The sequence below is a fragment of the Homo sapiens genome, chromosome 2 (assembly GCF_000001405.40).
Source record: "Homo sapiens chromosome 2, GRCh38.p14 Primary Assembly".
Classification (NCBI taxonomy): domain Eukaryota; kingdom Metazoa; phylum Chordata; class Mammalia; order Primates; family Hominidae; genus Homo; species Homo sapiens.
This window is the reverse complement of record NC_000002.12, coordinates 178,430,443-178,444,322: the sequence shown is the minus strand read 5'-3', so window position 1 is coordinate 178,444,322 and position 13,880 is coordinate 178,430,443. Positions and strand designations below refer to the sequence as shown.

Here is a 13,880-nt window from a genome sequence, read left to right as displayed (position 1 = left end):
GATATATTTTGTTTTCCAACTTACGATCATTAGATTAACAGAGCTAACTTGAAATTATTTTCCTATTTATGTTCTGGGTTTTCTTTCATATACAGTATTTGCCTTTGGCTTATAGAATTCTCATTTAAGATCAACAGGCCCTCAGTGCACATGGGTAAAGTGTTTTATACTTTAAGAATAGTTCTTGCTACTCTTGTGACAAATCTCTTTCTACTTCTGTTGAGACAGAAGACTTTATAGAGAGCCTAAATCAAATCAGTGAACCTAACTGAAGAAAAGGAGTCTATTTGCTTATTCTACCAAAAAAAAAAAATTTTATCTATACACACACAAACACACACACATATATTCAGCTTTGAATTTCTATATGCAGAATATCCTTCTTGCAGATTATCCATGTGCTCTGTTAGGCCATTTCCCTCCCCATTATTCAGCCAGTCCTTTGGTCTCCTTTTCCTGCACAGTGAGCTTTTCTATAGTTTTCTTCACCTTCTGTCCCCCACTTTATGCAAGTCTGTTGTTTGCTGTCCCTACTCCTCATGTGTTCTTGGCCAGCTGTGGGTTTGGAAGTCTATAGCTAGGAGGGGAGGGACTTTAGGAACTGATGGCAGTGAAACCTGTAGATGGTCTCCTCTGGTGTTGCCAAAGAGGGCGGTAGTAGCCTGTTTTTCTAGTTGATGTCTGATACCAGCTCACTGTGGTTTAATGCAAGAACACCATTCGTAGCACAAAACTGCTTCAGTTTTGGTATTGGGGTATAAAAATATAAAATGCGGGAATGTCTTTGAGAAATAGAGGGTCTTCCCTCTTTTTTCTGTTGCAGAATATCACTATTCTTTTCAAACATATACATAGAAATGGGATCAAAATTAAGAAAACACTTATGTGATTGAGCCATTGCATAAAATTACTATTAAAGCCTCATCTTGATTTTATAGGAATTGGCTATTCATCATGGCTGGAGACTTCCTGAATATACCCTTTCCCAGGAGGGAGGACCTGCTCATAAGAGAGAATATACTACAATTTGCAGGCTAGAGTCATTTATGGAAACTGGTACTTATTTCTTACAATTAAAGGCATTTGAAATATTTTCAGATGATGAATGACTATCGAAATTTCTGTCGTAATGTTTTCAAATATTTCTATGCAGAAAAATTGATACACTCCTCTTTTATTGTCTCTGACTTTCTGAGGTTGAACTTAAGTATAAATATTTGGCTTAAGATACTTAGTCTTCTTAATTTGATATTTTTAAAAATCATAGATTATTAATAGAAAGACAAACTGTTGGCTCTGTACTTTAAACAGTCTTCATTGATAAATTACTGACTTAAAAAACCTCAATTTGGAGAAAAAGCTATAGTAAATCTCTTGGATTTTAACAGCTATTCTATCTAGAAAATAGGACTAGAGGAAGATTACACTTGAAAATTATATGATTAATAAGAGACTACATGGCAAATAATTGCAGTGAGATAAAAATGAAAATTATCTTTCTTAATTATAGCAACTTCTATGTTATAAAGGATATAAACTATAAGAAACGCTGTCACTTTAAAAAGTACTAGCGAGAATTCCTGTTAACTTCTCTGGCATGTTTTTGTTATTTTCAAAAGTGGCTTAAAATGGGATTTTAGCTTAGCTAGATAATAGTTTCAAGTAATAAGAAACTATTTGCCTTTGGGAGGTAGTGTGGCCAGTACAGAAAGCACCAGGCCAAAAGCAGGAACCTCAGCTTCCGTCCTTGATGCAGTCCTTGATTCGCGAAGTTAAGCAAATTACTTAATTTCTCTGGACCTCAGTTTTTTAATCTATAAAACAAAAGCATGGAGGTAGATATTTATGGTATCTTTCAACTCCACCATCCCCTGTGCCTTTCTTATTCCTGTTAAAAGGAATTTCATATAATCGTCAGTTTAGAGAAGATCATAAGCAGGAAATAGACATTGAGAGAGAGGAGTTATAATTCAGATGTATTTTAATAAATCTAAATAATTGGTCAGAATTAAACCAAATATGGTTCAGTAATGCTAGACATAGGAAAATACAATTATTATAGAAAAACAGAAAGCATAACTATTAAAGAAAAACTTAAAACAAATGTCTTCAAAAGTGTAAGAATTAGTAACTATACAGGCCTGGCACAGTGGCTCACACTGATAATCCCAGCCCTTTGGGAGGCTGAGGTGGGCCGATCATATGAGGTAAGGAGTTTGAGACCAGCCTGGCCAACATGGCAAAACCCTGTCTGTACTAAATACAAAAAATCAGCCAGGTGTGGTGGTGGGCACCTGTAATCCCATCTACTTGGGAGGCTGAAGCAGGAGAATTGCTTGAACCCAGGAGGCGGAGGTTGCAGTGAGCCAAGATGGTGCCACTGCACTCCAGCCTGGTGACAAAGTGAGGGTCCGTCTCAAAAAAAAAAAAAAAAAGAATTAATAGCTATACAAACAAAATAGCATAACAAACAAAGTTATCAGGTCAGTAAGAACATAGTCTAGTATATAATAAAAACCGTGAGGTTCTCTGATTAAACACAGTACTTCATACGTTTGATCATCCTCTGTGGACACTAATTTCTTTTCTAAATCTACCATTTCTTTTTCTTTGTTCAGGAAAGGGGGCATCAAAAAAGCAAGCCAAAAGGAATGCTGCTGAGAAATTTCTTGCCAAATTTAGTAATATTTCTCCAGAGAACCACATTTCTTTAGTGAGTAATGTTGACAGCTATGATGTTAATGTCATTAAGCATTTCTTGCAGTAGGAAACTTTCCTTGATTTCTTATTCTATAGCTACTTCAGAGTTGTGATTTTTAGAAATCTCTTCATTATTCAGTTATACCCTACCCCATTTTTAGCTGCTTCCTGTTTGTGAGTCAGGATCACAGAGGCAATTAGGTAAGAGAGCTTGGGAGACACAGTCAAATTCAGAATAATAGGACGGGATCTAAAGATGATAGGCCAGTAGTGCCATTTTTGCCTTCAAAGTGACAGCGCATTTCCATCCCTTTGTTTGTTCATTCATTCACTTAGCAAACATTTAGTGAGCTCATACTGTGTGCTAAGTGTTGTGTTGGGTACTGGGGTGCAGTGAATAAGCAGTCCCTGCCTCTAAGGAGTTTATAGACTACTGAAAGGAAGGAATTCTATAGGCTAGTCCTTACAGAGTGTGATGTGGGAACATAGAAGAAGGCATCCAACAAAAACAGGTTTGGAGACAGATTCCAGGAAGAAGTAATGTCTAAGCCAAGACCTGTAGAATGGGGGAAAAGAATTCCAGAGAGAAGAAAAAGCGTGTGCAAAGGCCAGGAGTGAAACATCGTATGCAGTCTAGGAGCCCTAAGTGATTTGTTGTGTGTAGAACATAGTGTTGGAGGGAGGGAGTCTCAATGAGGCCAGCAAAGTAAAGAGGGATTAAATCTTAAAGGGACCCCTATATAAGGAAAGTGAACTTTATCCCAAGGGTAGTACAAAGTCATTAAAGAATTTTAATCTGGGAAGGACAGGATCTAGTCTATACATTACAAGGAAATCACTTGGCTGCATTATGGTAAGTGAGTGAAATTAGGATCAAAGAGACCTGCGAGAGTGCTGTTACAGAAGACACGTGAGACATGACAGCTTGAACTAAGGTAGTGGCTGGGAAAATGGAGAGAGATGGGTAGATTTTAAAGTTATTTAGAAAACTGAGGTAAAGGGGCATGGTAATTGATTGGATGTGGGAAGCAAGGGAAAGGGAGGAAATTACTATTTTAAACTTGGCAATAGCAAGAGGGGAGCAGATAATGAACTAAATATATTGAATTTGAAGTGCTTATGGAATAGCTTATGGAATAGCTAAGTGAATATATCGAGTAGCTGAACAAATAAATTCAGAGCTTAAGAGATTGGCCTACACATGATATATAACTTCAGATTCTGATATTCACAGATAGGTGTGTCATGTGGTACATTATCTGAGAGTAGTGTATTAGGTGGGAAATAAAAAAGTACAACTGTAGCAACTTCTTCACTGAGCTTATGATAAAATAAGGGCTCATTCTTTAGAAAAAAATCAAAGACTATATACAAATGAGTAATATAATTTGATTTTACATTTTTAATAGAAAAATATAAAACACTGCATTTACTGCTTTTGGAATTTGAGTCAACAGTATCACCAAAATTACAAAGCACAGACAGATTTACAGGTGAAATTGGTTAAATCTTCAAAGAAGAGATCATTTTCAATGCTATTTAAACTCTTTTCAGGCAATGTATAGATAACATAAAGGAAACTTTTAAATTTATTCTCCAAAACCAACATAATACACCAAAACCTGACAATAGCAAGTTCAACAGAAAAAAAAAAATTACAGATCAATATGCCTTATGGTGAAACACCTTTGTAAAATGTTCAGTACAATATTAAAATAATGATATAGCATTGACAAGTAGGGTTTATTTAACTAAGACTATTTCAAGGTTAATAAGTTGGTTACTTTAATTAACCACATTAATGTGTCAAAGAGTAATATATAATCCTCTCAATGGATGCCAAAAAAATTTTGATAAAACTCAGCAATCATTACTGATAAAAACTTGGAAAAAAACCAAAATCATGGTTATATATTTATACATTATACTCATTCCCATTAATATCAGAAATAAGGACGCCCACCAACACCACTTTTATTTAACCTTGTTCTAGAAGTACCCACCAATTAAAAACAAATTAGACAAGAGAAAACAGTACGAAGTTGGAAATAAGAGGAGATAAAATGGTTACTAACTGCAAATGGTATGATTGTATCCCTTTAAAACCCTAAAGAAAAACTACTAGAAACAAGAGAATTCATCAAGGTAACTGATTATGAAATTAATATACAAAATCAATAACTTTTCCATATTGCCCAGAGTTATGTAGGTAACAACCAGAATAATTAAAAATAAAAAGCTAAAAATTATTGTATCTGGGAAGGGGACCTGAAGGTGGAGAAGGGGCAAGGCAGAGGTTGTTGCTTTTATACTTCTGTACTATTTGATTTTTTGCTGTATGTGTGTATCACTTTGACAAAACTTACGAAGCTTCATAACATTGGTCATTTTATAGAAAAATAGAAAATCCTATTCTGAGAAAATATACTAGAAAAAAGTCAGTAGTTTTCTTATTTACAAATAATAACTAGAATATAGAAGATCCCAATTTAAATTGTAGACAGGGATAGGCTATATGAAAATAAACTTAGAAAGAAATGCGTAGGACCACGTGAGGAAAAGTCTACTAAAGAATAGAGCAGAAAACATTGTAAATATATTTAAATGTAATGTGGTCTCACTCAAAACCTACCAGCGTTTGGCCAGGCACAGTGGCTCACGCCTGTAATCCCAGCACTTTGGGAGGCCGAGGTGGGCGGATCATGAGGTCAGGAGATAGAAACCATTCTGGCTAACGCGGTGAAACCCCGTCTCTACTAAAAATACAAAAAAAAAAATTAGCCGGGCCTGGTGGCGTGCGCCTGTAGTCCCCGCTACTCCGGAGGCTGAGTCAGGAGAATGGCATGAACCCGGGAGGCGGAGCTTGCAGTGAGCAGAGATCCACGCCACTGCACTCCAGCCTAGGCGACAGAGTGAGACCCCAACTCGAAAAAAAAAAAAACCTACCAGCGTTCATTTTGGACCTTGATACACGTTTATTGAAGTTTATCTGGAAAAAAACCCTCAAGAATAGCCAAGAAAACTGAAAAGGAAGAGTTGGGAGAGCAAGGGTGTGCTGCTTTACTAGAGAACAAAACATACTGTAAAACTGAACTTGTCAGACAAGTTACTGGGCCAGGAATAGTCAGAGGAGCGAATAGAGAATCCAGGCGTAGATGCTAATCCACATAGGACCATAGTATATAGCAACAGTGAGATTTCAGATCAGTGGGTGAGAGGATGGATTATTCAATAATGATGTAGAAACAGTTTACATCCACATTTGGGTGGGGGCTATATATATATATTTGTTGATGTGTATGACATCTATTTAGAATGCTTCCTTATTCCTTACACCAAAGTGAATTTCAGATGGATCAAAGATTTGAACATAAAAATTTGAAACAGTATAAATATTAGGAAACATGGAAGAGTTTTTCTTTTTAAAAATCTTAGCATGGGGAAAGCATTTTAACTTAAAACCTAGGTTAAAAGATTAATACATTTGACAACATAAAACCTACTGCACAGCAAAAAATCTGTAAATTAAGACAATAAAAAAGTGGGAAGAAATTATTTTCAACATAGAACTATAAAGGAACTGTTTTCAGTACTACCTTTAAAGCTCTTTTGTACACATCTGCTGCACACAGCAGCACATGCCTGTAGTCCCAGCTACTCGGGAGGCTAAGGTGGGAGGACTGCTAGAGCCCAAGAGTTTGAGAGTTAAGCCACACAGCAAGATCCTAACTCTTAAAAAAGAGAAAATTTAAAAAGCTCTTATGCATCAGTTAAAAAGACAACCCAGTAGAAGAAATGCAAACGATTAAGGGAAAAAAAGAAAAAATATTCAACTTTATTCATGCAAGATAAAATATTTTCACCTTTTAGATTGGCAAAAACTACAAAATTTGATAATAGCTGGTATTAGTGAGGGTATGAGAAAACAAGCCCCCTCCAAGACAGTTGGTAGGAGTATAAATTGGTTCAGAAATCAGTTTGGAAGTATTTATCAAAATTAAAAGTGTACATGTTCTTTGACTTAGCAGTTCCACTTCTAGAAATAATTCTACAGAGAAACTCATTCAAGTGCAAAAGAGTGTTTATTGCTAGTAAAAGCAAGAAACTAGAAACAACCTAAAGCTCACAGTTGGAGATCCGTAAGGTAAATACAGTGCATATATGTGCACTGATAAAAGAAAAATGAACAAGATGTAGAGGAGTAAGTTATCATTTGCTTTAAAAGATTGTGTGTGCTTGCATATGCATAGAACATTTATGGGAAGATACTGAAAAATGTTTAACAGTATGTCTAAGAAATAGAACAGAGGTCTTCAGGGAATGGGTGGTAAGGAAAAGAGACTGTACTCTTCATTATATATTTGTTCTTAGTGCATGTATATTTTTAACCATGTAAATAGTGTTCTTTATTTAAAAACAGTATTTTAAAGTTTCTATAATGTAAATTTTTATTTGGTAAATCTAATAAATTACTTAATTCCATATCATGCCATCTCTAAAATCTTTTGGAAATTGCCTCCCCTCTGTCGTGCTCATTAATAAAACAATATTAAGAGTAGTAACCCTACTTACTTCAGAAAGTAGTTGTTTTTATTAATGGCATATGAAAGCAATTTGAGAACCATAAACTAATATGGAAATATAAGGCATTCTAAGGACAGAGATGAAAAGGGAAGGATATAGGGGAGGATAAAGGAAAGAGGAAAAGCAGAAAGAAAAAGGAAAAAAATACTCAGTTGGGTTCTGGGATAGAAGTCTGATAAGAACTTTTTGACATCCTGTCATTTATTTGAATGACTTGTTCCTCAAACCCAACGCGCACATTTCATGTTTTTTTTAGTTTTTTTTTCTGTTTTTTTTCCTGTTTGATAGCTGTCAGTTATAGTGATTGGTATTTAATACAAAAAAAACCAAAGATATGAAAATTGTTCTATATTTTAATCTGCAAATTGCTCCATTAGGCAGATTTAATTATTTGTGGATTTACTTATGGTGCTTCCAGATATCTTGTACCTCTTAATGTGACCATCAGAAAACTTGACTGAGAAACATTTGTACTATACAAAATACAAAATGCTTTCAGTATATTATTGCAAGTGCTTCTTAAAAACATATAGTATTGTTAAATGTGTACTTTTTAATGTTGTCTTGTTTAAATTGGAAAATTAACCAAATGTTATCCATTTAAACATGCTTTATAACATATTAAATGTGAGTGCTTAATAAGTACTTTTAATGATACTGGTACGGGTGTTGGAACCCAGTCCTAGTCAAGAGTCTAAATCTTCATCTCTGTTTTTCAGACAAATGTAGTAGGACATTCTTTAGGATGTACTTGGCATTCCTTGAGGAATTCTCCTGGTGAAAAGATCAACTTACTGAAAAGAAGCCTCCTTAGTATTCCAAATACAGATTACATCCAGCTGCTTAGTGAAATTGCCAAGGAACAAGGTTTTAATATAACATATTTGGATATAGGTATGATTTTTTTTTCTTTGGCTTTCCCAAGACATGTTTATTTAAAAATGTGTTTGAGGAACAAAAATGTGTTTGAGGAATAAAAATTTCTATTACAATTTATTTTATTGATCAGGGATTCTAAGTATATATAATTACTAGGCCAGTAATATATATAATTGATATGTCCCATTCTTGTGGATAGTAATAATAGCTAACATCTATACAGTTATAACAAAAACAACAATAGCAAAGATAGAGTTTTACTGTGTGCCAGACACTGTTCTAAGATTACACGTATCTACTTACTGAATCCTCAGACTAACTCTATGAAGCAAATTCTGTTATCCTTATTTATAAGTAAAGGAAGAAAGGCACAGAAAGGTTGAGAAACTTGCCCAAGATCACATAGCTAGTCAGCGGTAGAGCAAGATTTGGGGAAGAGTCCCAGAAGATACCCTGGCTGTTAAACTAGCCCTGCTGGGCAAATGAAAAGGCACCTACATTTCTAGCACAAGTACAAGTTTGTGGTGCCCAGACCTTTTCTCTCTACTTTGTCACTGTATGCTGATTCTGGGAGGTAAATGGAACCAAGTCAATTTATAGTTTTATCCCATCTCAGCCATCATCATCTGTATTTTCTCTAGCCCTTAATCATTTGGATAGACAAATATGGACAGATGGGAAAGCAAGTCAGTATGGATTTTCTTTTAATTCAATTTATAGAGCTAATTAGTTGTGTGTGTTTGGTGTCTTGATTTTTTTTTTTTTTTTTTTTTTTTGAGACGGAGTATTGTTTCTGTTGCCCAGGCTGGAGTACAGTGGCACAATCTCAACTCACTGCAACCTCTGCCTCCTGGGTTCAAGCGATCCTCCTGCTTCAGTCTCCCAAGAAGCTGGGAATACAGGCATCCACCACCAAGCCTGGCTAATTTTTTTTTTTTTCCCCAAGATGGAGTCTTGATCTGTTGCCCTGGTTGGAGTGCGGTGGCATGATCTCAGCTCACTGTAACCTCTGCCTCCCAGGTTCAAGCAATTCTCCTGCCTCAGCCTCCTGAGTAGCTGGGACTACTGCTGTGTGCCACCACACCCACCTAATTTTTGCATTTTTAGTAGAGACGGGGTTTCACCATGTTGGCCAGGCTGGTCTCAAACTCCTGACCTCATGATCCACCCACCTCGGCCTCCCAAAGTTTTTTTTTTTTTAGTAGAGATGGGAGTTTCACCATGTTGACCAGGCTTGTCTCAAACTCCTGACCTCAAGTGATCTGTACACCTCAGCCTCCCAAAGTGCTGGGATTACAGGTGTGAGCCACCGTGCCTGGCCAAAGTATCTTGATTTAACATGTGTGAGAAATTTTATATCCCTATCCAACCACAGAAAGATGTGGGGACCTTGCTTGTCAGGGTCCCCTGACCCTGGGAAAGTAGGGCACTTAGGGGCTCAAAGAACTCCTGATATTCTGTGCTACTTTGGGATTGAAGGACGGGTGAAGTGCATTGTCTCAGTAAACCAATAATGATGCAGAACCTGGGAAGTCAGTGCAGACAGATGGTTAGAAAAGGTGGCTGATGAAAAATTAGCTGGGTGTGGTGGCACATGCCTGTAGTCCAGTCTACTAGGGAGGCTGAGGTGGGGACAATGACTTGAGCCTCTGAGGTTGAGGCAGCAGTGAGCCATGATCATGCCGCTGCTCTCCAGCCTGGGTGACAGAGTTAGACTTGTCTCAAAAAAAAAAAAGAAAAGAGGCTGGAGGCCAGGTGCGGTGGCTCACACCTGTAATCCCAGCACTTTGGGAGGCCAAGTCGGGCAGATCACCTGAGGTCAGGCGTTTGAGACCAGCCTGACCAACACGGTGAAACCCTGTCTCTACTAAAAATACAAAAATTAGCCAGACAAGGTGGCGTGCACCTGTAATCCCAGCTACTCGGGAGGCTCAGGTGGGAGAATCACTTGAACCCGGGAGGCAGAGGTTGCAGTGAACCGAGATCGCGCCACTGCACTCCAGCCTGAGTGACAGAGTGAGACTCTGTCTCAAAAAAAAAAAAAGAAAAGGTGGCTGATGAGAGACCATTCATCCAATAAATATTTATTACTGTCTACAGTTCATTGAGGGTTTAGAATACAGAGATGAACGACCCATGTCATGAATAGGACTATGGAGGATACAGAATCTGGGGGAAAAAAGGAAACCCAAGATAAATTTTTAGATTATGAATTAATGATGCCTCTGAAACATTTCTTCCCAGTTTTGAGAACTAAATAGTTCTTGTAGATATGGAAAGCCATCTAAAAACCACAGTCTGTTAATTTGGCTAGTTTATATGCAGCTACCTTCAAAAGAACCTAGATATTCTCCAAAGGAGATATACAAATGGGCTGGGCAAAGTGGCTCACACCTGTAATCCCACCCCTTTGGGAGACTGAGGCATGAGCATCGCTGGAACCCAGGAGTTTGAGACCACCTGGGCAACATAGTGAGAGCCTGTCTCAAAATTTTAAAATTAAAAAAGAAAAATGACCAAATGACCAAAAAATACATGAAAAGATGCTCGATATCATTAGTCAATAGAGAATGCAATCAAAACCACGATAATAAGGTACCACTTCAAATCCACTAGGATGGCTATCATTAATGAAATGGAAAATAGCAAGTGTTGGTGATGATGTAGATAAACTGGAACCTTACACGTTGCTGGTGGGAATATAAAACAGTTCAGCCTCCATGGAATAAGCTTCTCAGTTCCTCAAATGAATTGCCATATGACCCAGCAACTCCACTCCTAGGAGTATAAATAAAAAACTGGTATTTAAACAAATGCCTATACACACAGGTATCTGTATATTCATAGCAGCACCATTCACAAAAGCCAAAAGGTAGAAACAGCCCAAAACATCCATCAGTGAATAAGTGGATAAACAAATTGTGGACTGTCCTTCCAATGAAATATTATTCAGCTGTAAAAAGAAACGAAGTTCTGATACATTCTACAACATGGATGAGCCTCAAGCAGAAGCTGGAGGGTCAGGAGAAAAGAACCTAGATACTAGAACTAGAAAGCCTCTTTACTCATTAAATAATCCCATTGTATCTGGATATTTTCCACTAAATAGAGTATCAAAAATAACATTTTTATTATGCCTACTTCAAATAAATCATACCGCACACGTTTCTATTTCTTCCTCTTTGCCCTCATTTCAGCCATCTTTAGTAAGAGTGGCTCATCAGTTGATGGGAAGAACGTTTGTTTCCTGGGTCAGGTATTGTTTTTAAAATACCATGACCCATTTACAGTATAAATAAAGAACTAGACTCTGCACAGACTTAAAACCTAGGAACATGAATGGACAACAGCATAAATACATACAATTATTATGTATCAATTAAACATTTTTTTTTAATAGAAGACACAAGGGAGGTTTTGCCTTGACCGAAGTTATTCCTGGTTCAAATGCCTCCTGAAAATGACTTCCTAGTGGAAAATACAATCTCTCCAGTCCTCTAGCAAATGGTTCTTTCCCTTTTGAGAAAGTTACTGTGTGGTTCAGTAATTTCCAAATAGTGTTCAACTAACTATATTAGAATTGCCTTGGGAGCTGTTATTTTTTTAAGTGTAGGAATCAGCCACCCCCAACTGTATATTTCTGATTGAGTGAGCTAGAGTGCAGCCTAGATATCTGTATGTCTTTAACACTGTCAGATCATTATGAAGTGTAATGTGTTTGAAAACTGCTACAGCTGAGCAGTTGTGGTTTTTTGTTTGTACAAGCAAAACAAAGATTGCGAGTGGTGTAGTATACCATGGAGGCTTAAAAAGAAAGACAATAATAAGAATTGTATTGTTTTTACAAAGGGATCCACTTTATACATATTGGACATTAATCGTCATCCTTGAATGTGTCATTACAGATGAACTGAGCGCCAATGGACAATATCAATGTCTTGCTGAACTGTCCACCAGCCCCATCACAGTCTGTCATGGCTCCGGTATCTCCTGTGGCAATGCACAAAGTGATGCAGCTCACAATGCTTTGCAGTATTTAAAGATAATAGCAGAAAGAAAGTAAATCTGGAGCAACTTAAAAAATCTTTCAGTAGCACATAAAAAGTTCCCCTCTGGCCCCTTCCCAAGTAAAACTTTTACCGTAGTGTTTATGTCTTGTTTCTAAATCTCTTCATAGATTCCATCAACACTCCAGATTTAATTATCTCCTCATAGTTGTTATTAAGCTCTTTTTAATGGCTTCAACTTTGTATCAGTATACTGTATTTATAAACTTTGTACCACAAGAGAGAGTGTAGCACCCATTTTACAGTGCCATGCACATCAGAGAAAGAAACTGCATGTTTGTTGTTGATGATGAAATAAAAATGCTAGCGACAGTCTTTCTTACTGGTGCTTAAGCTCTTCTTTGCACAAAGCTTTATAAAGGGAATTCAAAGGAAGCCCTTTAGAATTAGAGTCTTGAGGGACAGCACTAACAGGCCTTTATTAAGTATGATTGATTGTTAAATTTCAGGGAACATGATTGGTCTGCTGTGTATTTGAATTCATGTAACAAAGAACTGTTACGATGGGATTCTGCTCATTTTATTAAAAAGCTACTGACTTGACTGTCATCCTGTTCTTGTTAGCCATTGTGAATAAGATTTTAATGTTGATAATTCTGTTATTTACATATCTCTAATTTACTTTGAAATTCAAAGGTGAAAATAAAAAATGATGGCCTAAGTAAAATTTACAAACATACATGTAATGGGTTACTTCCTTACTTTCTCTAAGCGTATGCAACCTTGTATTTTTCTTTGACATAACCATACACAGGTGAATTACTAGTTTAAAAAGCATTTGACCATGCATGTTGGCTCATGCCTATAATCCCAACTCTTTCGGAGGCCAAGGTGGGAGGATCCCTTGAGGCCAAAAGTTTGAGACCAGCCTGGGCAACATAGTGAGTCCCCATCTCTACCAAAAAGAAAATCAGGTGTGGTGGCACACTTTGAGTCCCAGCTACTCAGGAGGCTGAGGTGGGAGGATTGCTTGGGCCCAGAAGATCAAAGCTGCAGTGAGCTAGGATCACAGCACTGCACTCCAGCCTGGGTGACAGAGTGAGACCCTGTCTCAAAAAAAAAAAAAAAAAAAAAAAAAAAAAGCGTTAGTAGAATTACCCAAAAAACCTTCCCAGCTTATTCAGTTCAGTTGCAAGAATGTTCCAAAGTGATGAGTGATTAAAAGGTTAGGAAATAAGTCTAATGAACAGATTTTAACCTTACCTTTTGTGTTTCCATATATAATCTTGTAACATCTCAAGTCTTCCATCTGTCAGCGCCGGCTCGTGCTAGCTTTCTACATTAGGTGGAAGTCTCAGCTCTGTGTTTGGAGTGCAGGGAAAGCTTCATAGAGGAAACATGAATGAAGGTAGGTCTCATGTATTCATACAGAAGGAAGCATGTAGCAGGTATTTTTGTCTGGAAAAAAATCATATCTGGAATTCTTTGAGAACAAAACTACAAAATAAAGGAAAACCAGTACATGTAACTTATTTTAAATTCTAAAGAGCACTTACCATAGTTCCATATTCTAAGCTCCATTTGTTAAACCATAGAAACAGGTACTTTTTTGGCAAGGTAAGGAATAGACTTAAAAGACTGGAAAAAAAACTAGGCATAATAGGATCTTGTGACTCTTTAAAGACTGAACTAAGGTTTTAGTAAATGGTC

The 13,880-nt window shown here is 37.0% G+C and overlaps 1 protein-coding gene and 1 long non-coding RNA gene across 9 annotated transcripts in view; one reads left to right on the top strand and one right to left on the bottom strand.

The window, feature by feature from the left end:
- Positions 1-12,909, top strand: part of PRKRA (protein activator of interferon induced protein kinase EIF2AK2) — a 19,762-nt gene extending 6,853 nt beyond the window's left edge. For 5 of the 6 annotated variants that reach the window (NM_003690.5, NM_001316362.2, NM_001139517.1 and 2 more), the window contains 4 exons: positions 939-1,056; positions 2,619-2,713; positions 8,004-8,178; positions 12,069-12,909. In NM_003690.5, coding sequence (NP_003681.1) covers positions 939-1,056; positions 2,619-2,713; positions 8,004-8,178; positions 12,069-12,226 — 546 coding nt within the window. In that variant the 3' untranslated portion in view covers positions 12,227-12,909. Of the gene's footprint in view, positions 1-938; positions 1,057-2,618; positions 2,714-8,003; positions 8,179-12,068 lie in introns of those variants that run through there. The other variant, XM_047446138.1, reaches the window with a different exon arrangement.
- CHROMR (cholesterol induced regulator of metabolism RNA) overlaps positions 4,080-13,880 on the bottom strand; it is a 26,585-nt gene continuing 16,784 nt past the window's right edge. Inside the window, exons 3-5 of one of the 3 annotated variants that reach the window (NR_110204.1) lie at positions 13,434-13,553; positions 10,848-10,941; positions 4,080-5,456 (exon numbers count right to left, since the gene is read on the bottom strand). This is a non-coding gene — a long non-coding RNA (cholesterol induced regulator of metabolism RNA). Of the gene's footprint in view, positions 5,457-10,231; positions 10,942-13,433; positions 13,629-13,880 lie in introns of those variants that run through there. The other 2 variants (NR_110205.1, NR_110206.1) reach the window with 2 other exon arrangements.